The following is a 25,547-nucleotide window of genomic DNA, read 5'->3' on the forward strand; positions in this document are numbered from 1 at the left end:
GGTGTTGCATACCTGTAGTCCCAGCTACCTGGGGGGCTGAGGCAGGAGGATCACTTGAATCTGGGAAGTTGAGGCTGCAGTGAGCCTTGATTGTGCCACTGCACTCCAGCCTGGGTGATAGTGTCTCAATCAATCAATCAATCGGCAAAGCATAGTTCACCATATTCTTTTGATTGGCCATAAGAGCTGGTGATATTTGAGATACAGGCTGCTCTGTCAGCCTGAGTCCTAGAGTAAAGACAGCATGGAGCAGAGAGCCACAGCTGATTGAAATGTTCATGTAACATGAGTGAAAAATAAACCATTGACAAGATAAGCCACTGAGACTTGAAGTTTAGTTATTATCACAGCAAAATCGAGCCGAATATGACTAAACAAACAAACAAGCCCAGTAACTGAGGTACTATGATCTGAATGTCTATATCTTCCCCCCAGATTCATATGTTAATCTCATCTCCAGTGTGATGATATTAGATGGTAGAGCCTTTGGGAGGTGATTAGGCCATCAGGGTGGAGGCTTTATGAGTGAGATTCGTGTCCTTATAAAAGAGGCTCCATGGCCGGGCGCAGTGGCTCACGCCTGTAATCCCAGCACTTTGGGAGGCCGAGGCCAGCGGATCATGAGGTCAGGAGATGGTCACGAGGTCAGGACCATCCTGGCTAACACAGTGAAACCCCATCTCTACTAAAACTACAAAAAATTAGCCGGGCGTGGTGGCATATGCCTGTAGTCCCAGCTACTTGGGAGGCTGAGGCAGGAGAATGGCGTGAACCCGGGAGGCAGAGCTTGCAGTGAGCTGAGATCGCGCCACTGCACTCCAGCCTGGACAACAGAGCAAGGCTCCATGTCAAAAAAAAAAAAAAAAAAGAAAGAGGCTCCAGACAGCTGCCTTGTCCCTTCCATCTATGGGTGCCATCTATGAGGAACCAGACACCAAATCTGCCAGCACTTTTATCTTGGACTTCCTAGCCTCTAGAATTGTGAGAGACAAATGTTTGTTGTTTATTAGTTACCCAGTTTATGATATTTTTGTTATTGCCACCTAAATGGACTAAGACATGAAGTAAATTGAGCATATTTCTATTCCTTGTAAGCCCAAAGAGTCTCAACCAACACAGTGCCGTAGCCAGCCACACTTCAGTCCCCTGAACTCACAGCATGTGCTTTTGACTTTTCTAGGTGGAATTATATGAGTCATCTGATGCAGATTCAATTGCTTTTTAATGCTAGCTGTTTCTCTTCTCAGCCTTCAGTCCTCCAGTGTGTCTCTTCTACGTGCATCCAGTATAAAAATTGGTACAAAATACTGTCTGGATTGAACCGCTGTTAATTTCCTCATTTTCGGCTGGGCGCTGTGGCTCATGCCTGTAATCCCAGCACTTTGGGAGGCCGAGGCGGGTAGATCACTTGAGGCCAGCAGTTGGAGACCAGCCTGGCCAACATGGCAAAACCCCATACCTACTAAAAACACAAAAATTAGCCAGGCCATGGTAATTCTATGCCTACGCCTGTAATCCTAGCTACTTAGGAGGCTGAGGCTTGAACCCAGGTGGTGGAGGTTGCAGTGAGTGGAGATCGTGCCACTGCACTCCAGCCTGGGCAACAGAGTGAGACTCTGTCTCAAAAAACAAAATTCTGCATTTTCTCTTTTAGAGGTCTGGGTCTTTTATGATGGTATTTTCCTCCTATTTCCCTCTCTTCTAATTTTATTATTTAAAAAAATTTAATCAGATAGATGAACTGAGAGAATTTTGGAATGAATTCCCACATATCCACTGCCTTGATTCTACAATTTCCATTTTGCTTTATTTGTTTTATCACATATCCATGAACCCAGCAATCCATCCCTCTATTCATTCATCTCGGTTTTTTGGATGCATTTCAGAGTAAGTTGCAGACTTAATGAGGACATGATGATGCCTTAACCCTTGACACCTAGTCTTTTTCCTTTTAATTATAGATTAAAAGAATATTTTTAAACCTTGTTAGAGGCTGCCTTAACTGTTCCCTCTGCTCTCACAAACATAAGCATTTTCACCCTTTAACAATCAAGGACTCAGTGTATTTGCCCACATTACATAAACCCTGGGTGCCCTCGCTGTCTAAATCTCGCTCTTTAATTTCTTTCTCTCCTACTTCCTCTCTTATTTCATCACTCACCACAACTTTTCATTTGCTTTTCCTTCTCTCTTTCAGCTCCTCAGCAGATAATTTTTAAACTAAACAACAGCTGAACAATATCCCCACTGTTCCACATGTCTGGGTATGCACAGCACGTCCACGCTTGCCCAGAACAGAAGGAAAACACTATTTCTTCCATTTTATTTCTTTGCATCGAAAGTGATTAAATCTGTGTGCATGACCGTCATACATCAGACCATTTGGCTATTTTTAAAGTCTGTTTATTAAAGTCAAGCTGCATTCTCTTTACAGAAGAAATCTTTACCACTAAATGATGTGATAAATGCCAAGGGAACAATGCATCTTTTGTAGGGCGGGAGAGAGACACTGCCATCCTACAATTGCCAGATTGTTTAAATTATTATACGGCAATTCAGGCTAGTTACATATTTGCATTGTTATACAAGTATTTTCTTATTTTGGTTAAAGATGGCTTTTTGAAGGGACTTCTATTCTTGCAGGGCAGATTAGAGGACCCCATTACATGGTCTGATACATACATTTTATTACGCCAACCAGCAGTATTTCCATTTTTTCATAAAGGGGTTTCAGCAATGAGGTAAAAGATTGCAGATAATCTCCAGTAACTCAGGCACCACGATATTTTATTTACTAAAAACTCCAATAAAGGTTTCGGTAAAAAGTGTTAAGGAGAACTTTTCTTTTTGGTGAAACATCAATTTCACAACAATCGTTTCAACCTTATCTTGAATTATAAAGCTGAGTTTGCCATTTCAAACTAAAGAGGAAGAAAGAAAAAAAATTATGGAAACATTTTCCTAGTAAAATATTGTGGGAAGAAAGTAAAGAGAAATTGTCTACAATTATATTAGCAATTCCTACTTGTAAATATCAGAACCTGTGTACATGAGTTTTTTTCTTGCTTTGATGCTTGAGAGTTGAATGGTGAATTCATTCATTCATTTACTCAACAGGGACTGCTCACCTGCTCTGTCCAGTGCAGTCAATTTTTTAAAATTAATTATTATTATTATTATTTTGAGATGGAGTCTTGCTCTGTTGCCCAGGCTGGAGTGCAGTGGCGTGATAGCTCACCGCAACCTCCGCCTCCCAGGTTCAAGCGATTCTCCTCTCTCAGCTTCCTGAGTAGCTGGGATTACAGGCACGTGCCACCATGCCTGGCTTATTTTAGTATTTTTAGTAGAGATGGGGTTTTGCCATGTTGGCCAGGCTGGTCTCAAACTCCTGACCTCAGGTGATCCGCCTGCCTCGGCCTCCCAAAGTGCTGGGATTACAGGTGTAAGCCACCATGCCCAGCCTCAGTGCAGTCAGTTAAGCACTGGGGATATAAAGAAAAAAAAGACATGTATATGTGGCCTGTCGTCACAGAGCTTATGATTCACTAGGGAAGATAGACATGGCAGACTCATGTTACAGTCTCAGGTGCTATGACAGACAAGCACACGGAAAACTGGAGTAGAGCCCACCCTAAACTGAAGAGGGTGAGATTGGGCAAAGTGGTTCATGTCTATAATCCTAGCACTTTGGAAGGCCGAGACGGGAGGATCACTTGAGCGCAAGAGATTGAGACCAGCTTAGGCAACATAGTGAGACCTCATCTCTACAAAAAGTTTTAAAAATATATTAGCCAGGTGTGGTGGTGCATGCCTGTAGTCCCAACTGCTCAAGAGGCTGAGGCAGGAGGCAGGAGGATCACTTGAGCCCAGGAGTTTGAGACCAGCCTGGGCAACAGAGTGAGACCCCGTCTCTACAGAAAGTTTTAAAAGTATATTAGCCAGTGTGGTGGCATGTGTCTGTAGTCCCAGCTACTCAAGAGGCTGAGGCAGAAGGATTGCTTGAGCCCAGGAGTTTGAGGCTGGAGAGAGATCATGCCACTATACTCCAGCCTGGGTGACAGAGAGAGACTCTGTCTCTAAAATTTTAAAAAATATATAATTTTTTAAAAAGACAATGAGAATGCTCAGAAAGGCTTGCTGGAGGCATCATGAAGGATAAATCGTGGTTAACTGATTGGAGAAGACAATAATAGTGCTAAAAAGTCTCTGTTTCAAATAATAAACAACCTAATGCAAACTGGCTTAAGTGCAAAAGAGAATATATTGGTTCTTATACCTGAAAGGTCCAGGGAATTTTGGCTTCAGTCATAGCTGGACCCAGGATCTAGTAGAGTATCATCAAGGATCTGCCACTGTTTGTCTACCCAACAGCATCTCTCTTCTTCCTTGTTAATAGAGCCCCAAATTTGTTCACTCTCAGTGGAACTGCTTTGTCTTTCAGGAGCGGCTGGGCTTAATTCATTACATCTGTGACAATCCCGTTTCCAATACAGTCATATTCTGAGGGCTTGGGAGTTATACTTCAACATATGACTCTTGGGGTGATACAATTCAACCCTTAACACTCTGCCTTTCCCTTCTCCATTTCTCTGATCTCCTGCTGGTCTCTCGTTAGCTGGACTGATCTGGAGGGTATGTTATGGGAAAGGGGTCCTGATCCAGACCCCAAGAGAGTTCTTGGATCTTGTGCAAGAAAAAATTCAGGGCAAGTCCGTAAAGTGAAAGCAAGTTTATTAGGAAAGTGCAGGAATAAAAGAATGCCTACTCCATAAACAGAGCAGCCCCGAGGGCTGCTGGCTGCCCATTTTTATGGTTATTTCTTGAGTATATGCTAAGCAAGGGGTGGATTATTCATGCCTCCCATGTTTAGATGATCTAGGGTAACTTTCTGATGTTGCCATGGCATTTGTAAACTGTCATGGTGCTGCTGGGAGTGTAGCAGTGAGGATGCCCAGAGGTCACTCTTGTCGCCATCTTGGTTTTGGTGCGCTTTGACTGGCTTCTTTACTGCAACTGTTTCATCAGCAAGGTCTTTATGACCTATATGTTGTGCCAACCTCCTATCTCATCCTGTGACTTGGAATGCCTTAACCGTCTGGGAATGCAGCCCAATAGGTCTCAGCCTCATTTTACCCAGCCCCTATTCAAGATGGAGTTGCTCTGGTTCACGTGCCTCTGACATTTCCAATAAGGTTACATTCCGAAGGGGTTATACTTCACCATATGAATTTTGGGGTGATACAATTCAACCCCTAATGTTCTTTTTTTCCCTCCTTCATCTCTCTGGTCTCCTGCTGGTACCACCCATAGGATGGACCTATCTGGAGGGTACAGGAGCCTGGTTTATGTGAACCATGAAAAGCAGCTTCCTGAGGTACAGAGCAGGCTAGGGAGGGTGGATCTGGATGGGCAAAGAGGATTTCCAGGACACTTTGTAGCATCTTTCTTCTTGGGAAGGATCTCTCCACATGGCAACGAACACCTCTAGACTGACTTGATTCTTAGCTCCTGCTATTTTAAAAGAAGACAGAGATTTTATCACCCGATTTCCATAACAATTCTCTAAAAGAAGTTTACTGGTATTCTTTGGGTTACAAGAACAAACTTGAAATGGAAATAGAAGACAGGATATCTGGTGCTCCACCCCATTGGCAGGCTCAGCTTATCTTCTCCCCATTACTCTGGGATGTCTTTTCCCTTGTGGTTTACTAGGTATCTATCCCTTAGGGGCGCATTCAGCTGCCTGTATTGAAAACTCAAGAACAGTGGTAATAAAACGAATGAAGTTTATTTCTCCTTACACATTTAGATGTCCAGAGTAGGGCAGGCCCAGGCTGGTGCCGTGGCTTAAGGAAGTCAGCAAAGACACAGGCTCTTTCTATCCCCTGCTTCACCATCCTTAGCATGTGGCTTTGGGCCTCATGGCTAAAAGGGGCTGCTCCACTTCCAGCCCCACATCTGTGTTCCAGCCTAGAAGAAGTGAAATGAAACTTCAAGGAAGAAGGGGCAGCAGAAATCAGGAAAGCAGAATTTTCTCAGAGGTCCCTAGAATATGTCTGGTTTTATCTCATCGGGCAGAACTGTATGACATAGCTGTCCCTTGCTACATGGGAGCCTGGGAAATGTAGATCTTTGGCTGAGTTGATTGCCATTTGGAAGCAATCAAGTTTCTGTTAATAAGGTTGAAGTGGAGAGTGGACCGTGGGTGGAGAGCTAGCAGGGTCAGCCACACTGCTGGCGGCACCTGTGTGCGGGGTGTCTCGTGAAGGTGGCACTTAGACCCGAAGGACTGCTGCTCAGAGGATTTGAGTGGATTTGGGGTAAAGCAATATATACAGTTACTCAGAGAATCACAGTCTAAATTTAAATAACAAAATCCTGCAATTCCAAAAGCATGTAGTAAGCCTCGATATGAGCACTGTCTTTTATTACTACCTAATGTCAGAAAATGTGCTTATTGAAAGAGGACTAAAGAAATGTCTTTGGAATTCTTTGCCCAAGTTACTGTTTGTTGATGTTCTTATAAATCTCATAAAGGATTCACGCGTATTTCATCTAACACAAGCAATCAATTAACCTCCCTTCCTTTTTCCTACTCAGACATGGGCAAAGTAAGAATATACAGTTGACTCCTAAACAATACGGATGCCAAACCCCCGTGCAGTCAAAAATCCACTTATAACTTTGGCCGGGCACAGTGGCTCACACCTGTAATCCCAGCACTTTGGGAGGCCAAGGCAGGGCAGACTGCTTGAGCTTAGGAGTTCAAGACCAGCCTGGGCAACATGATGCAACCCCATCTCTACAAAAAATACAAAAATTAGCCAGGCGTGGTGGTGTGTGCCTGTAGTCTTGGGTACTGGGGAGGCCGAGGTGGAAGGATCACTTGAGCTCGGGAGGCAGAAGTTGCAGTGAGCTGAGATCACGCCACTGCAGTCCAGCCTGGATGAGAGAATGAGGCCCTGTCACAAAAAGAAAGAAAGAAAATCCTCTAAAACTTTTGACTCCCTCAAAACTTAACTACTAATAGCCTACTGTTGACTTAACAGTCACACAAATTTTGTATATGTATTATATACTCGAAACTTAACTACTAATACCCTACTACTAATAGCCTACTGTTGACTTACCAGTAACACAAATTTTGTATGTTTTATGTATTATATACTATAGTCTTATAAGTAAGGTAGCAAAAGAAAATTTATTAACAAAATTATAGAAAGAGAAAATATATTTACTAGTCATTAAATGGAAGTGGATCATCATAAAGGTCTTCCTCCTCATCTTCAGGTTTAGTAGGCTGAGAAGGAGGAGGAAGAGGAAGAATTGGTCCTGCTGTCTCAGAGGTGGCAGAGGTGGAAGGGGAGGCAGGAGAGGCAGGCACACTTGGTGTTAAGTTTCTTTTGTTTTTTTTGAGACACAGTCTCACCCTATTGCCCAGGCTGGAGTGCAGTGGTGAGGTCTCGGCTCACTGCAACCTCCACCTCCCAGGTTCAAGCAATTCTCCTGCCTCAGCCTCCTGAGTAGCTGGGACTACAGGTGCCCACCACCACGCCTGGCTAATTTTTGTATTTTTAGTAGGGATGGGGTTTCACTGTGTTGGCCAGACTGGTCTCGAACTCCTGACCTCAAGTGATCCACCCGCCTCGGTCTCCCAAAGTGCTGGGATTACAGGCGTGAGCCACCACACCCAGCCAGTGTTAAGCTTTATTGAAAAAAGTCATGTATAAGTAGACCTGTGCAGTTCAAATCCATAGTGTTTAAGGGTCAGTTGTAATTTAATTATCTCTTCTCTCTTCAGAGGAAAAGAACCAAATTCATTGCCTGTGATTTTCTGACTGAGTGGTTATACAAGTAAGTTGTTCGTGTCTGACTATTCAGTGATCCTAAGAATTCAGTCGTGTTAATTTGCAAGCAGAATAGCAACAACTGACTTGAATTCTTGCTTATTGTTTTCTTGTCAATCAAACATATGGCATCATGACCAGCCAAAATCCAAAGAGGGCAGGGGAGCCATTCACAGAATTTTTCTCCATTCCATTTGTGGAGGAGCGGCTAAAGCAACAGTGAGTATGACACAAGGCTTTGAATAATTTATTCCTAATTTAAGATTGTGTTAATAATACTTTTCTTCCATCTAAGAGAACAAACTGATGTGATCCATCCAGGACTCTGGGCCAGTCATATTTGTGACTCCTGTCTCTAGTTATTCTTAGCCTAGGCTAACCTTATCCTAATCAGGCCAGTAATTTCATTCAAGAAGCACTCCAGAAATAAAATAGAAAACTTAAAAAAAAAATTATTATCCTAAGTAATTTATCCCTCCATTCCCTTCATTTTTTTCCTGTCTCTCTGAATGTCATTATGTCTCAGGAAATATGACTAAGCTTTTCTAAATACTTAGAAAATACTAAAAAAGCTTAAATAATAAGTTACCTGCATCAATTCTCCATTTTTAATATAATAAAGAACATGACAGATAAAATTAAAACTATTTGACCATTCTAATATGGGTGTCCTCCCCACATTGAAGTAATCACTTCAGTCTACAGTGCAGCCTTCCAGACCTCTTAGTTATTTAGCTATATAAAATCAGTTTATGCTGCTCTGTCTATGGAGTAGCCATTATTTTATTCCTTTAATTTCTTTTTTTTTTTTTTTTGAGACGGAGTCTTGCTCTGTCACCCAGGCTGGAGTGCAGTGACGCGATCTTGGCTTACTGCAAGCTCCACCTCCCGGGTTCATGCCATTCTCTGTCTCAGCCTCCTGAGTAGCTGGGACTACAGGTGCCTGCCACCACACCTGGCTAATTTTTTTTTTTTTTTTGTATTTTTATTAGAGACGGGGTTTCACCGTGTTGGCCGGGATGGTCTCGATCTCCTGACCTCGTGATCCGCCCACCTCAGCCTCCCAAAGTGCTGGGATTACAGGCGTGAGCCACCGTGCCCGGCGGATCACGAGGTCAGGAGATCGAGACCATCCTGGCTAACACAGTGAAACCCCGTCTCTACTAAAAATACAAAAAATTAGCCAGGCATAGTGGCGGGCGCCTGTAGTCCCAGCAACTCGGGAGGCTGAGGCAGGAGAATGGCGTGAACCCTGGAGGCGGAGCTGGCAGTGAGCCCAGATGGCTCCACTGCACTCCAGCCTGGGCGACAGAGTGAGACTCCATCTCAAAAAAAAAAAAAAAAAAAAATCAGTTTATATCTGGCCGGGCATGGTGGCTTATGCCTGTAATCCCAATACTTTGGGAGGCCGAGGTGGGCAGATCACTTGAGGTCAGGAGTTCGAGACCAGCCTGGCCAACATGGCAAAACCCCGTCTCTACTAAAAATAAAAAAATTAGCTGGGCACGGTGGCACGTGCCTGTAATCCCAGCTACTCAGGAGGCTGAGGCAGGAGTATCGCTTGAACCCGGGTGGTAGAGGTTGCAGTGAGCCGAGATCGCACCACTGTACTCCAGCCTCGGGGACAGAGTGAGACTCTGTCTCAAAAAAAAAATTTAGACTCTCGGCTCTCAGTTGTCACATATTTTGCTTAAATCTTCCCTCTTTGAGAATACCAAGATGAATAGACCCTTGGCTGACTCTGGCAATTTTGAGAATTTTAAAAACCCCAGATATTAACCAGTTTTTTTTTAAATCTAAGATTACACATTGAAAGGAGAGAAACATAGGAAAACCTTGTTTCTTATTTAGCTTTCAAACCTGTGCCTGATTTTATCCGCTATGAAATGTATAGCCCAAAATTTATTGATTTACATATATTTTTCTAAGACAAGCTTCTTTGAGTATCATTCTCCAAGTTGCTGCTTTGCCTTGAAAAAAAATTTTCCATTTGTAATAACCAATGAAAAATAACCTTAAAAATAAGATAACTTCTCTAATAAGAATCCTCTTAGCTTTATTTATTATACAAATACCTTAATTTTAAATGGTGCTGATGTCCACAGGAAGCTCATGTAAATATACTGTGAAGGAGCAGTAGCGGTCATTTCAGCTGCACTCCACAGGAACAGAAACACAAGAGCTCTTGCTTTAACGGGCATTTATATTCTCTACATCCATGACCTTTCAAAGAGATGCCCAGATGCATGATAAAAATTAAAGTGATATTAATCTATTTGATGCAATGAATGTCTATCGAACACCTACCCAGTTCAACTGCACAGAGCTTGGTGCTGTGGAAAAAACAGAGATGAATAAAGTATGGCCCTGGCCCCTTGGGGTGGGGGGACATGTTTACAACTTGCTGTAGTTTCTGTAGTGAGTGTTGTAATTCAAATGTTAACAAAGCATTAAAGGGAAGTGGGGAAGCATGAGACCATCCACGTGCCCTTCCTGGTGGGCCTGGAGCCAGCCCAGCTGGGGCAGCGGCCAAGCTGGTTGGTGCCCAGATTTGGTCCAAGGCAAGAACTCAAATGCTGCATTCTTCTTGTCTCAAGTAGGAATAGTCAGAGAAGCAAGCAGGAACCAAAGTTCTTAAGGAGAACAAGGGTGGGAGCCGGGAAATATCCAATCCAGGTTGTCTCAACCTTGGCACTATTGACATTTAGGACTGGATAATTCTTTGCTGTAAGGAGCTGACCTGTGCATTGTAGGATGTTTTGCAGCATCTCTGGCCTCCACTCACTAGATGCCAGTAGCACCCTCCTACAGTTGTGACAATCAAGAATATCTCCAGACACTAGCGTATGTCCCCAAGGGGAATGAGGCAAAACTGCCTCTGGTTGAGAACCTCTGATTTAGTCCAGTAGTTTCAAAACTTTAAAGCAGCACTTTGGGAGGCCGAGGTGGGTAGGTCACTTGAGGTCAGGAGTTCGAGACTAGCCTGGCCAATGCAGTAAAACCCCATCTCCGCTAAAAATACAAAAATTTGCCAGGTGTGGTGGCACATGCCTGTAATCTCAGCTACTTGGGAGGCTGAGGCAGGAGAACTGCTTGAATCCAGGAGGCAGAGGTTGCAGTGAGCCAAGAAGGTGAAACGGGAAAAATTACCTTGTCCCCCTCGCAGGGCATGCAACAGGGGGATGTGGCTCGCTTTTTCAGTGCCCTGCTGCTCAAACCTCTAGGGGAGCATACAGGCAGGCAGGTTGTCGGGCTCCCACCCGATGGCGGTGTCTATAGGTGAATTTACAGCTGAAGCCCCAGTGGGCATATGTTACCAGGTGCTCTCTTAGTTTGCCATCTATAGGCGGTTTGTGTTAACCAGCTCAATTCACCCTCTACCTTGTTGCGAGGACAGAGGGATTTCTGTATCCCAGGTTCTTGCCTTTGTGTACCAGAGAAATCAGATCACACGTGGGCTTGGAGAATGAGTGCAAAGTTTTATTGAGTGGAAGTAGCTCTCAGCCGATGGAGGAGCCAGAAGGGCACCATGGTTTTTCCCATGGAGTTGGGCTGCTCAGCGGCCACAGCTTTCCTCCGACTAACTGCCCTGGCCAAACTCAGCCTCGTCCTGCCAGGTGCCTGTGCCTGCCGTGTGCTCTTCTGCTGGTGTGCTCCTCTCAACATCCTCTCCGTGAGCAGCTGCTTGTATCTTTTTCCGCTGAAGTGCTCCTCTCGACGTTTGGCTGCCTGGGTGTCTGCCCGCTAGGGTCTCGGGCTTTTATATGCCCAGGACGGGGGGTGTGGCAAGCCAGGGTGGTCTTGGGAAATGCAACATTTGGCAGGAAATGGCTGTTCTCATCTAGGTCCCTGGGGGTGAAGCCCTAGCCAGGGACCACGCCCTCCTCTACGGAGCACTTCCCCTACCCCCTTCTTCCCTTCCCAGCACTCCTGTATCAGTGGTACCACTGCACGCCAGCCTGGGTGACAGAGCGAGACTCCATCTCAATAAATAAATAAATAAACAAATAAATAAATAAAATAAAATCACCCAGGGAACTTTGGAAAATAGTGGTACCTAACTTCACCCAGAATGACTAAATCATAATCTTCAGGTATAGCCTGAACATTGTTTTTTTTTGCTTTTTTTTTTTTTTTTAAACTTCCTAGGTAATTCTAATATATAGCCAGGATTAAGAGCTTATCCATCCATAGGACAGAAAAAGTACTGCATCCAGGAACTAATAAATAATATAATTGAGCCATTGCTTCACTAAGAGCTTTGATACATGCCATCTCATTTAATCTTCACAACAACACTAGGATGTAGGTACTAAAGCTGGGAGCCCACAGCTGGGAAGTTGACCATGAAGTGAGATGGGTCTTGGACAAATAAGGTGATTATATGAGTATTATGGATGGACAGTTTGAGTACAGCTTAATGATACAGATTGGAGGAAGATAACTTTCGAGGGGGAGACTCTGTCAAGGCTTTTTAAAGGTAGTGAAATATAAACTACAGTAGTACTTCAGGCAGAATTAAGAGCCTGAGCTTTTGGGATAGATAAACCAGTATTCAAATCTCCACCACTGGCTGGGTGCAGTGGCTGACACCTGTAATCTCAGCACTTTGGGAGGCTGAGGCAGGCAGATCACCTGAAGTCAAGAGTTTGAGACTAGCCTGGCCAACATGGCAAAACCTGTCTCTACTAAAAATACAAAAATTAGCTGGGCATGGTGGTGTGCGTCTGTAATCCCAGCTACTCGGAAGGCTGAGGCAGGAGATTTGCTTGAACCCAGGAGGCAGAGGTTGCAGTGAGCCAAGTTCGCACCACTGCACTCCAGCCTGGGTGACAGAGTGAGACTCCATCTCAAAAAAACAAAAAACAAACAAACAAAAATATATCTCCACCACTTACTGATCCTATGATCTTGGGCAAGTGTTTATTTATCTATTACTGTGTAACAAATTGCCCCCAAATTTAGTGGCTTAAAGTCATAAATATTATCCTATAGTTTCTCTGGGTCAGGAATTTGGTAGCCGCTTAGCTGGGTGGTCGTGGTTCAGAGTCTCCCATGAGGTTGTAGTTAAGATGTCACAGGGGGTGCAGTCATCTGAGGGCCCAACTGGGGCTGGAGGTTCTGCTTTTAAGATGGTGCACAAACATGGTGCTGGTTGTTGTTTGGAGGCCTTAAGTTTTCCCCATCTGGGTCTTTCCATGGGCTGCTTGAGTATCCTCATGACATGGTGACTGGCCTCCTTCAGAGTGAAAGATTTGGGCACAAGAAGGAAGCATGGTACCTTTTATGACCTAGTCTTGGAAGTCAAATACCTCCATTTCCATCACATGCTATTAGAAGCAGGTCACCAAGTGCCACATTCGAGGTTTAATAATTAAGCTCTACCTTAGGGAGGGAGGAGTATCAAAGAATGTGTGGACATATTTATTTTAAAAGCATCACAGCATGTCTGTCTCTAAGCCTCCAGTTCCTTATTGGTAAATGTGGTTGTGAAGATACAGTGATACAGCTACAAATGGGATCGTGAACAAGCCCAACCTATAGTAACATGTGGCTTACTAAATGGTGAGTAGTGGTTTATTGCCATTGGTGGACATTGTGACATTCCAGGCCAAAGACCCAAAGATGGGAGAAGAGACAGGATTTGGTCCAGTCACAGGAAACCAGCATCGCTAGCTCCTGGAGTGTGTGAGGACATAGGGATGAGATGGAAGCTACGGCTAGAAGGCAGTTAGGGGGTGGATTATGGTTTTCAGTAAAAGAAAGAAGTTTGGGCATTATTCCATAAGCAAGAGATCATTCAAAGGCTTTTGAGCAGAGGTAAAATGGGATTAGGCTGTTTTGGAAAGATAATTCCTGAGACAGTGCAAAGGACATCTGAGATTGGGGAGAGCCTGGAGTTGGGGCTACTAGTTCCAAGCCTGTCTTTATAGCCGTAAGGTATTGAGTTAGGGCCATGTTAGTGGAAAAAGGGGGTTGTGGGATGGGTAGAATGGATGGATGACCCAGGATAAATTTAGGGGTAGAGAAGGGTTGTACCTGAAATGGTGAGATTTGCTCCTGGGTATGTGGGTGGCCCATAATGGAAACCAAGGGACCCAGCGAGAAGAGCAAGTGCAAGGGTTAAATGATGATTCCTGTCTGGGGCACTTTTAGATTGAGGTGCTTCTAGGATATCCATGCCAGAAACATTGGCCTAAAGCTTACAAGTAGGATATGAAGAGAAACGGTTTGGGAATCAAGAGCCCCACATTGAATGTATGGATTAAGTCAAGATGGACAAGGGCTGAACCGAGGGGTAGCCCAGAGTTGATTCCAGTTCAATGAATGGCACTTACTCTAAGTCATGTGTAAGTGTAACAATGACTTGTTTCAACTTAGCGTCTATGTTGATTTTAAATGACTGACAAGGAGAAATAGGGGTGTGTTTATTTTCTATTGCTGCTGTTACAAAGCACCCCAGAACTGGTAGGTTTAAAACAACACAAATTTATTACTATACTGTTCAGGAGGTCCAGAGATTGACTTGGATTTCACTGGGGTGAAATCAAGGCATTGGCAGAGCCTAATTCTTTTCTGGAGTTTCTAGGGGAAAATGTTTCCCTGCCTTTTCAAGCTTTGAGAAACTGCCTGCATTCCTTGGCTAGTGGCCCCTGCATTCCTCTTCAAAGCCAACAATGTTGCATCTCTCTGACCCTCTTTCTTAGTCATATCTCTCTGACTGTTTCTCTTTTGGGGGGCGGGGGGGTGACAGGGTCTAACTCTGTCACCCAGGGTGGAGTGCAGTTGTGAAATCTCGGCTCACTGCAACCTCTGCCTCCCGGGTTCAAGTGATTCTTCTGCCTAACCCTCCCAAGTAGCTGGGATTACAGGCATGCGCCACCATGCCCGACTAATTTTTGTATTTTTAGTAGAGACAGGGTCTCATCATGTTGGCCAGGCTGGACTCAAACTCCTGGCCTCAAGTGATCCACCTGCCTCAGCCTCCTAAAGTGTTGGGATTACAGGCGTGAGCCATCTCTCCTGGCCTCTCTGACTCTCTTTTGCCTCCATCTTCCACTTTTAAGGACTCCTGTGATTACATTAGCTCACCTAGATAATTCAGGATAACCTTCCCATTGCAAAATCCTTGACTTAATCGCATCTGCAAAGTTTCTTTTGCCATTGTCAGGTAAATATTCACAGGTTCTGGGAATTTTTTGGGAGGGATGAGAGGGTGACAGGGTCTCCCTCTGTTGCCCAGGCTGAACTGCAGTGGCACAATCACAGCTCACTGCAGCCTTGACTTCCTGGACTCAAGCCATCCTCCCACCTCGGCCTCCTGAGTAGCTGAGGCTACAGGTGCATGCCATCACGGCCAGCTAATTTTTGTATTTTTGGTAGAAACAGTGTTTTGGCATGTTGCCCAGGTGGGTCTCAAACTCCTGAGCTCAAGCAATCTGCCTGCCTTGGCCTCCCAAAGTGCTGGGATTACAGTTTTAAGCCACCATGCCCGACCAGTTTCTGGGAATTTTGATGCAGACATCTTTAGGACCCAAATTCTGCCTACCACGAAGTGTAATGGAGAATGTGGAGAAATTTAAAGTCCCTTTCTCTTAGAGATCACCTACATTTTGCTGAAGATTGCTTACATTTTAAAATAGTATTCCAGGTTTTGTATAATAAAAATGATACATGCTGAGTGAAAAAATTCAAACAAAACAGAAAAATCAAAAGAAAAATGCACAGATCACCGAAGAGCTGGCCTCCCAGATATAACCATTGTTGACATTTTGGTGAACTTTTCAGATGCTTTTCTATGTATCTCCATATGTATATAGATATAAAAAAATGTGTAAGTATTCCTCTGAGACCAGAGCTAAGAGTGAGAGAAAAATTGAGGTGGAGGGAGAAGCACTGAGAAAGTTCATGGTGGGTGCTGTCACTCACGTTCACATTCATGTAGGTGTGAAGGCATCTGCTGAGAGGGAGGCAGAGGTTTATGGAGGAGGGGAGGGGGTTGCAACAGCTGCTGTGGTGAAACCGACAGGGAATCAACGAGGGATAAATAGGGATGGCCCAGCTGATGGCCTGAATTTGTGGTGCATATAAACAGCCTGCTTATGTGATTGTCTCCAGCAACCCTCCACAGCTCTGGAAAGGGGGTGGAGAACAGATGGTTGGTAAAATCAGGGTTGAAGACTGGCAAAGCTACTCTAGTAAAAGGTCTAGACTGGGCCCAGGGGATCGTAGGTACAAGTGAAAGCATTGTTTCCTTTTTAAAGAATGTCTTACATTTTTAAATCATAAATTACCATATTTTCTGAATTATGTTAACGCTTTAGCAACCAATTTTCGGGAAGAGAAAGAAATCCTACATTAGGTGTTCACATTGAAAGTAAGAAATATACCAAACTCAGAAACACTAAGATGAGGGTAGTGGGGTCCATCTTAGAATCAAGACAGTTTGTTTTTAAAGATTCCAATGTGTGGATCTTAATTGGATCCCAATTCAAAAAAACGGTATAAAAAATTGGAGACAACTGAAAATTTGAACACTTAATAGCTGATGAAATTAAAAAATTATTATTTAAGATATGATGATGAGAATACTAATTTCATAGTCATGATTAAAAAGTTATTACTTTTCAGAGAAACATGCCAAAATATTTATATATGAAATTACATATTCTATGGACAGGGGTGAGGGAGGGAGGGAAGCTTCCATTCACTGACATGGAGAACAGTATAATTGAAGCTGGTTGATGGACACATGGATTCCTTTTAATTTTTTCTGTCTACTTTTGTATAGCTTTTAAAATTTCCATAACAAAAATTTTTTTAAATGAGATTAGGGCTAGATGCAGTGGCTCATGCCTGCCAGCACTTTGGGAGGCTGAGGCAGAAGGATTACTTGAGCCCAGGAGTTTGGACCAGTCTGGGAAACATAGTGAGACCCCATCTCTATAAAAAATCAAAAATCAGCTGATCATGGTGGTGCTCACCTGTGGTCCCAGCTACTCAGGAGGCTGAGGCGGCAGTATCACTTGAGCCCCAGAGGTTTAGGCTGCAGTGAGCTGTGGTTGTGCCGCTGCAATCCAGCCTGGGTGACAGAGTGAGATCCTGTCTCAAAAAATAATAATAATTAAAAAAACATTAAAATGAGATTGTTCAAAGCTCCTTATGAGCACTTGATAGTGTAGGAGATGTGCCCTGGGCGAGGTGGTATCTACTGGAGAGCAGTGAACCAGGAGGGCTGGGGGCCATTCCCTACTGGAGGTGGCTGGAGTGACAGACAATGGAGGACTGAGTTTTCCTATGAGCATGCTGAGAAACTCAAATGGCATTGAGGGAAAATGGCCCTGGGGAAAGGGGAGATGGCAGGTGCAGCCCAACTGACAAGTATTGTGGTGCTGAGAAGGTCTTGGTCACCCCTCCAGAGACCCAGCTCTGAATGTGCACAACTTCCCAACCAATTCTCTTATGTTAGTCTCAGATAACGCCAACCCTCCCACCAAACCCAAACCCAGTTTCCCCAGAAACAATGAGAAGGAGGATTAACATGATCAAAGCCTTGGGTTTGTTCTAAAGAACAAGTCTCCAATAATCTCAGAGTTCCTGGGGAACAAGGACATGGCTTTCTATGTCAAGGGTCAGCAAACTTTTCTATAGAGGATAGTTAAGTCTTTTAGGCTTTGCAAGCCACAGACAGTCTCTCAGCTACTCAACTCCCCAGCTGTGTCATGAAAGCAGCCATAGATGTACCATATATGAATGAATGGGTGTGGCTGTGTTCCAATAACACTTTATTCACAAAAACAGGTGGTGGGCCAGATTTGGCCCATGAGCTACGGTTTGTTGATTCCCTGTTTCAGGTGGACACCAATAGCCTTCCCAAACCATGGTCTCATGTAAAAGCAAAAAAACCAACATAATTAGAAGTAAGTAGTAGGTGGGAAAGATGGAAGGAGAGAAAAGTTTATGATTACATCAGGAGTTCAGGAACTTGATATGTGACAGTCTTCAGTGATGAACCATTCTAAGATGTGACCTTTCTGTTGGGTGACTGACCCAGAGGGATGGTAGGGGTCACTAGAAACATGTGGACCCAAAGTCATGGTATTGCGGGGGTCATCAGCATAGATAATGAAGTAGCTGAGAACACTGGGAGGAGACAGCTGAAGAAGATGACAGTGAGTCAAATCCCAAAGTTGCCAAAGGAAGTGTAGGAATGTTCTAGAAGTCAAAGAAGTGACAGTGTAGTGTGGTGGTTAGGAGCTTGGAAGCACTAGAATCACACCTCTGCGTTCTAAACCCAGCTCCACCACTTCCAGCTGTGTGACTTTGGGCAAAGATGACTTAATCCTTCCAAGCCTCAGTTTTTCCATCTGAAAAATGGCCTTTCAACTGAACAAAGTTCCCCCCGTAAGAGGAATCCTAGTGCCAACTATTATTATATTTCATTATTGGTACATATACCAAGCAGGTATGTTCCAGCTAAAGGGAATTATTTATTTAGCTAATACTTTTTTTTTTTTTTTTTTTTTTTTTTTGAGACAGGGTCTTACTCTGTTGCTCGGGCTGGAGTGCAGCGATGCGATCTTGGCTCACTGCAACCTCTGCCTCATGGGCAAGTAGCTGGGATTACAGGTGTGTACCACCATGCCTGGCTAATTTTTTGTAGATTTCACCACATTGCCCAGACTGTCTGGAACTCCTGAGCTCAAGTAATCCGCCCTCCTTGGCCTTCCAAAGTGCTGGGATTACAGGCGTGAGCCACTGCGCCCAGCCAGCTAATAATTATTGAATGCTTAAATATGCTTTAAAATTATGGGGCAGGTATATTCATAAGTGGCCTGGCTACCATTTATGAAACACCTACTATGTGCCGTGGAAACATGACATGTAGAAACGACAAACATGTTTCCCGTTTTCATGGACAGACATACTGTGTATAGTTGGATTGAAGTATATGTGTACTTAATTTATGCTAATTCAATGATATGCTTTTGAGAAGAAGAGAGAAAGACAGAGAAGGGAAGAAAGGGAAAGGGATAAGAATTTTTAAGGCCGGGCGTGGTGTCTTAGGCCTTGCCTGTAATCCCAGCACTTTGGGAGGCCAAGGCAGGTGGAGCATGAGGTCAGGAGTTCGAGACCACCCTGGCCAACATGGTGAAATCCCATCTCTACTAAAGATACAAAACATTAGCCAGGCGTGGTGGTGTGTGCCTGTAATCCCAGCTACTCAGGAGGCTGAGGGAGGAGAATCACTTGAACCCGGGAGGTGGAGATTGCAGTGAGCCGAGATTGCGCCACTGTACTGCAGCCTGGGCGACAGGGTGAGACTCTGTATCAAAAAAAAAAAAAAAAAAAGAAGACTTTTTAAAATGCAAGCAATTCTTGCCACTTTACTCTAGAGGTAACGCATAAAATAGGACACATGACTCAGCTCTTTCCTCAGTTGTTTTCAATTTTGGGTACCCCTCATAACATAAGCAGCTCATAAGGCAACTACTTCCTTCTGTCTGTCTGTCTTCGTATTTATATATTTAACTACCTACCTACCAAACATTTACATAGTGTTTACTTGGGTATTATTCTGGGCACTTTATAAATATTACCTAATTTAACTTACATCGCAACCCTACAAAGTAGAAAATCATAGTATCCCCGTTGTATTAGGCTAGGCTAGGCTAGGTTGCAGTTATAAACAATACCAAAATACCAGTGGCTTAACCCAACAACAGCTTACTTCTTGCTCACAAAAAGACTGTTGTAGGTTGGACAGCCCTCTTACCTCTGAGGTCACTGATGCAAAGGAAGAAAAGAATGTAGGAGGTCCCTCAGCTCTTAACCTTCTCAGTCTAGAAGGTTCTTAACTTTCTCACCTCTCTTTACAGAGCATGGCTTCAAGCCAGTTGCGGGGGAGGCAGGGATACGTAAAGGAACACGTGGATATTGGTGAACACTAGCTGTTCTGTTCTGGGCACAGGCTTTTTTTTTTTTTTTTTTTTTTTTTTTTTTTTTGAGAAGGAGTCTATCTCTGTCATCCAGGCTAGAGTGCAGTGGCACGATCTAGGCTCACTGCAATCTCTGCCTCCCCATTTCAAGCCATTCTCCTGTCTCAGCCTCCCAAGTAGCTGGGCTATAGGCACCCAACACCATGCCTGACTAATTTTTGTATTTTTATTAGAGATGGGGTTTCACTATGTTAGCGAGACTGGTCATGAACTCCTGACCTCAGGTGATCCACCTGCCTCGGCCTCCCAAAGTGCTGGGATTACAGGCATGAGCCACTGCACCTGGCCCACAGGCATATTTCTAAGAAAGAACTGAGGCAGAGAGAAATTAAGTCTTTGCCCAGGATCTCAAGCCAGTGCATAGCAGAGGCAGGATTTGAACATAAGCAACCTGGCTGCAGAGTCTATGCACTGTTAAGAGTGTGGCTAATTATTCTGCTCTACTTCCCCTTCTGTCACCTGGTCCTTAAAGTGATCAGTACTGAGACTGGGAGAAACCTGGCTGTGTGAGACAGCTTGAAAGATGCCATGTCCTGGGCACGGTGGCCACGCCTAGAATCCCAGCACTTTGGGAGACCAAGATGGGCAGATCACCTGAGATCAAGACTTTGAGACCATCCTGGCCAACATGGTGAAACTCCGTCTCTACTAAAAATACAAAAAAATTACCCAGGCTTTGTGGTGCACGCCTGTAATACGCCAGCTACTTGGGAGGCTGAGGCAGCAGAATTGCCGGAACCCGAGAAGCAGAGGTTGCAGTGAGCCGAGATGGTGCCACTGCACTCCAGCCTGGGTGATAGAGCGAGCCTCCGTCTCAAAAACAAACAAACAGACAAACAAAAAACGATCTGCCACGTACTCTAATTGAAGTGTGATGAGGGTGTTTTTGTTCTTACCTTTTAACAGGGGTAGATGATGTCATATCTCCCGTCGGCCTTAGTCCTGTTTATTAATCCAGCACCATCCTCTTTTGTAGTATATAGTCGTGACTCAACCAGCCAATCAGAGGCAATGAAATTATTTTCTAGCACATTAAGAAGAGAAAAAGTTTAAATTTCTATTTTGGCCAAAAAGAATGGCCCTGAGAATTGGTCAGATTCATTTGCAAAAATAAATAACTAAATGAGCACGAAGAGCAAAAGTGCACCACTGCCTTTCTGGTCTCATGTCCCAGAAGGGAAGGCTCATGAAAGACATCATTAAAACTGAGACCTTCAATGAAACAAAGATTGTGTTTTTGAAAAGAAAAGGTTGCTTTGGGTGAAATGTCTTTTCAGCTAAGTTTTATCCTTGAAACAAAAAAAAAGGTGGGGGGCTGGGGGAACCTATGATATGTTCATGTTGATGAAAGGTATCTTGTGACCAAAAACAGAGGTGAAAACAAAAGTGTCACTGTGTCGTTTGAGGACAAGCTCCAGTCGCTTGATGATCTATTTGTGCTGAGGCTGATAGTGGAACTGAAAATGCTCCTACCTTCAGAGTGGCACAAAAAACTGCATTTCGTACTAAAGATTATAATTAAATGGTGGCACAGCAGAAAATTTGTTGTCATGCCCTCTTGATAGAAAAAAAAATCCTTTTAATTTATTTTGTCTTATAGAAGAGTAGATTTCTTCTGTGTCAGTAATTTCGGAGGCCAGAGAGTCCCAAGAGGATAGTAAATCGTCTTTGCTTTTTATATTCACATTCATCTTCAAATAGAGGGAGGAAGGAAAGCTGTTTCCTGAATTTGGGACGTGCTGAGATGTATAAGTTCTCTAGTGCCTCTCTTTTGCTGGAGGTTTGACATGTGGGTGGCCCTTTCTCAGGCGCACTCAGTACTGCTTCCGTTCTTTCTTCCTGCTGTTTCTCCATGGCTGTTTAAGAACCAGTTCAGGGCCGGGCACGGTGGCTCACGCCTGTAATCCCAGCACTTTGGGAAGCCAAGACTGGCAGATGACTTGAGGTCAGGAGTTCGAGAGCAGTCTGGCCAACGTGGTGAAACCCCATCTCTACTAAAAAAATGCAAAAATTAGCTGGGCGTGGTGGTGCACACCTGTAGTTCCAGTTACTCCGGAGGCTGAGGTGAGAGAATTGCTTCAACCCGGGAGGCAGAGGTTGCAGTGAGCTGAGATCGCGCCATTGCACTCCAGCCCGGGTGACAGTGCAGGACTCTGTCTCAAAAAAAAAGAGAACCAGTTCAGAGAGCCTGTGCGAAGCAGTATGGCAGGCACATCTGGGCTCCAATCTTAGTTCCACCATTTAGTAAAGCGTTTTCCCTGAGTTCTATGAGCTGTTGTAGAAAATTATCGAACTTGAGGAGGGGGTTGTGGGAGCCCCCAATTTGTAGCCAAGTCAGACAGAAGTGTGAGTAACCTGGAGACCCATTCCTTGTGACTGGCATCTGTAGTGGAGAGCATTCTTGTGGGACTAAGCCCTTATCCTGTGGGCTCCCTGTGGGCCTTCTGTGGGGTCTGCACTAACTGTGGGCAGTTAGTGTCAGAGTTAAATTAAATTGTAGTGCCTGTAATCCCAGCACTTTGGGAGGCCGAGGCGGGAGGATTGCTTAGGGTTAGGAGTTTGCAACCAGCTTGGGCAACATAGTGAGACCCCTATCTCTACAAAACATTTTTAAATTAGCTGGGTGTGATGGCAGACACTTGTAGTCCCAGCTACTCCAGAGGCCGAGGGGAGAGTATCACTTGGACCTGGGAGATGGAGGCTGCAGCGAGCCATTAACATACCACTGCACTCCTGCCTGAGTAACAGAGTGAGACCCTATCTCAAAAAAAAATAAAAATAAAAACAAAATAAAAAATAAATTGTAGGATGCCCAGTTGGTATCTGCAGAGAGCTGGAGAACTGCTTGGTGTGAAAAACCCACACATTTGGTGTCAGAAGTCTTGCGAGTAGAGAAACAAAGGTTTTTCCTTTTAGTGCCCTCAAGATGTCCACATCCAATTCCCAGACCTTGTAAATATATATGTTCCCTTATATGGCAGAAGGGACTTTGCATATGTGATTAAGTTAAGGATCATAAGATGGGAATTAGTATATGAGTTTCCTAGGGCTACTGCGAGAAATTACCACAAAGTTGGTGCTTAAAACAACACACACAATTTTTATTTTGAGTCAGAGTCTCACTCTGTTGCCCAGGCTGGAGTGCAGTGGTGCGATCATAGCTCACTGCAGCCTCGAACTCCTGCCCTCAAGCAGTCCTCCCACTTCAGCCTCCCAAAGTGCTGGGATTACAGACGTGAGCCACCACACCCAGCCTTCAGTGTATCTGTTAAAAAGATCAGTCCGGCAGCTGGATGGGGTATTCACTGAAATCAACCTAATAGTGCATACAGGGAGGTGACTACAGTGAAGAGATGATGCCCTCATGGAGAGGAGGAAGTAAAATAAATTGGATTTGGGACATGTTTTGAGGTTGGAACCAAGAAGACTTGCTGATGGATTGGATGTTGTGGGAGAGAGAGGAGTCAAGAATGCAACAGAGATTTCAGGCCTGAGCAACTGGCTGAATGGGATCCCTTTACTGAAACAGAGTAGGGGAAATAACAGTTCTCTTTTGAAAATTTAATGAGTACACTGAAAAATCACAAATTATTGGGAATAAAAATATGAAAAGTTTTTTCTTTTTTCCCACTAACCACCACACTATATTACATTGACTCCATCTGCCATCTGGATAGCAGCTCTTTAATACTTTTTGGCCCAATTCCATAACTTTCTGGTCACTCTCTCTTTTTAGATCATCTCATTTCACCATTAGGATTTATCCTCGTTATTTTTTTAAATCACAAGTATTTTTTTAATTTTTACTTATTTATTTATTTTATTTATTTATTTATTTTTTTTGAGATGGAGTCTCGCTCTGTCGCCCAGGCTGGAGTGCAGTGGTGCGATCTCGGCTCACTGCAAGTTCCGCCTCCTGGGTTCACGCCATTCTCCTGCCTCAGCCTCCCGAGTAGCTGGGACTACAGGCACCTGCCACCACGCCTGGCTAATTTTTTGTATTTTTAGTAGAGACGGGGTTTCACCATGTTAGCCAGGATGGTCTCGATATCCTGACCTCGTGATCCACCCGTCTCGGCCTCCCAAAGTGCTGGGACCTTACAGGCGTGAGCCACCGTGCCCAGCCTTATTTATTTATTTATTTATTTATTTATTTATTTATTTATTTGAGATGGAGTCTCGCTCTGTCATCCAGCTGGAGTGCAGTGGTGCGCTCTCAGCTCACAGCAACTTCCGCCTCCTAAGTTCAAGTGATTCTCCTGCCTCAGCGTCCCAAGTAGCTGGGACTGTAGGCATGTGCCACCTTGCCTGGCTAATTTTTGTATTTTTAGTAGAGATGGGGTTTCACTATGTTGGCCAGGCTGGTCTTGCACTCCTGACCTCAAGTGATCTGCCGGCCTCCGCCTCCCAAAGTGCTGGGATTACAAGCATGAGCCACTGTGCCCAGCCAAAAATTTATTATGTTTTTTATAGAGACAGTGTTGCCCTGGCTGGTCTTGAACTTCTGACCTCAAGCCATCCTCCCTCCTTGGCCTCTCTAAGTGCTGGGATTACAGGCATGAGCCACTGCACCTGGCCCATCCTGTTTATTTTTAAATCCTTAGTCTTCAGTCTCCAGCTGGATATAAAACCCATCTTTCCCCAGCTCCAGCCACAACTAACTGTCTACGATTCAGGGGTCCCGGAACTTGGAAAGGGAAGGAAATTCCCTCTTTATTTTCACTAATCTCTCACTTAAATCCAGCGTCTCCTTTAAGTATGAATGTGGACAACAAACCTCAGTAGTTTCCATAGTATCTGTGAGTTTGTCCCTGACAGCAATCACAGATATTCTCCTGTCACATTACAGTTGTTGCAGAGATCGAGAAATACCATTTACACTTGTCACACCTTTCAAATTACAGTAGTTAATTGGCCTGCTATTAGCTCTTGTTATTTACTGCATAATTTAGAAGCGCATATATTACTATATCAGCAGCTCTTGTTTTAATATTTTGATACTTTTATTTCAATATAATTGGTTTGCTGTAATCCTATGTATTTACTTTCATGTTGTTAAAAACATTATTGTGAGAAGGAATCCAAACCGCCAAAGTAGAAAGGGATCCGTGACACAAAAAAATGAAGATCCCCTGTGAGAGGTTTGAAAAGGGTGGGGAGGTAGGTGGTCTGCTCTTCTGAACATCCCCCTTGCCTGGGCCCACCCTTTAAATCCAGGAGAGGGAGACTGGGGAGTAGGTGGGTCTCCTTAAATTTTTCCTTTAGTCACACTAGAGAAAATGTGTAATCAGTTACAAAGACGTTAAATAATACCACAATCTGGGAATATTTTATCAAGAAATATCAAGTATCACAGCCTTGTTTTTTTAAAAAATGGTTATATCTGAAACCCACATGGGAGCATGTGGTCTTGCACTTCGCTGCTTGGCGAGTTCTGCTATCTGGACACGTATGCAGCTTCAGTGATGGAGTTGGTTAAATGGGACTCAGCTCTGTGTGTAACTAGGAGAATGATTCAGCCTGATGCTGGAGTAATAACCGCTTGTTGATCTCCCAGGGTAGAGATTAGTGAAGGGGCCAAAGCAACATCATATCCTGGTAACCATGATTTCTAAATATGCTTTAGGCTACAGAGAGTAAAGCTCTGCAGGTTTTGGAGCTGTTCGTATGTTCACAGAAGGCTGGAATTGAAAGAATCCTA

General features: G+C 44.0%; 1 protein-coding gene and 1 long non-coding RNA gene across 10 annotated transcripts in view, besides 2 other annotated features; one reads left to right on the plus strand and one right to left on the minus strand.

Annotated features, from left to right (window-relative positions):
- The window catches only part of IQCK (IQ motif containing K), a 140,197-nt gene that overhangs the window by 37,776 nt on the left and 76,874 nt on the right, over positions 1–25,547 (plus strand). For 6 of the 8 annotated variants that reach the window (NR_130968.3, NM_001394805.1, NM_153208.3 and 3 more), the window contains 2 exons: positions 7,802–7,854; positions 7,989–8,066. The exons of 1 other annotated variant lie outside the window; for it this stretch is intronic. Coding sequence is in view for 6 of the 7 variants with exons in the window: in NM_001394805.1 (NP_001381734.1) it covers positions 7,802–7,854; positions 7,989–8,066 (131 nt within the window). In the remaining variant the exon portion in view is untranslated. The remainder of the gene's footprint in view (positions 1–7,801; positions 7,855–7,988; positions 8,067–25,547) is intronic. One more of the 8 variants, NM_001394806.1, reaches the window with a different exon arrangement.
- Positions 4,715–10,024, minus strand: IQCK-AS1 (IQCK antisense RNA 1). 2 transcript variants are annotated; one of them, NR_188663.1, is made up of 4 exons: positions 9,923–10,024; positions 6,709–6,962; positions 5,802–5,970; positions 4,715–5,511 (listed from the first exon to the last, which is right to left on the minus strand). It is a non-coding gene; the product is annotated as an IQCK antisense RNA 1 (long non-coding RNA). The 2 variants fall into 2 exon arrangements; NR_188662.1 differs by lacking the exon at positions 6,709–6,962.
- Positions 11,042–11,542: an enhancer, noted in NCBI's record as "H3K4me1 hESC enhancer chr16:19778410-19778910 (GRCh37/hg19 assembly coordinates)". NCBI's record gives its function as "activates a minimal SCP1, AML or CMV promoter by ChIP-STARR-seq in naive H9 embryonic stem cells {active_cell/tissue: H9 hESC(naive)}" and the evidence as "EXISTENCE:reporter gene assay evidence [ECO:0000049][PMID:30033119]".
- Positions 11,543–12,043: an enhancer, noted in NCBI's record as "H3K4me1 hESC enhancer chr16:19778911-19779411 (GRCh37/hg19 assembly coordinates)". NCBI's record gives its function as "activates a minimal SCP1, AML or CMV promoter by ChIP-STARR-seq in naive H9 embryonic stem cells {active_cell/tissue: H9 hESC(naive)}" and the evidence as "EXISTENCE:reporter gene assay evidence [ECO:0000049][PMID:30033119]".

This window comes from Homo sapiens, chromosome 16, assembly GCF_000001405.40.
Source record: "Homo sapiens chromosome 16, GRCh38.p14 Primary Assembly".
Lineage (NCBI taxonomy): Eukaryota > Metazoa > Chordata > Mammalia > Primates > Hominidae > Homo > Homo sapiens.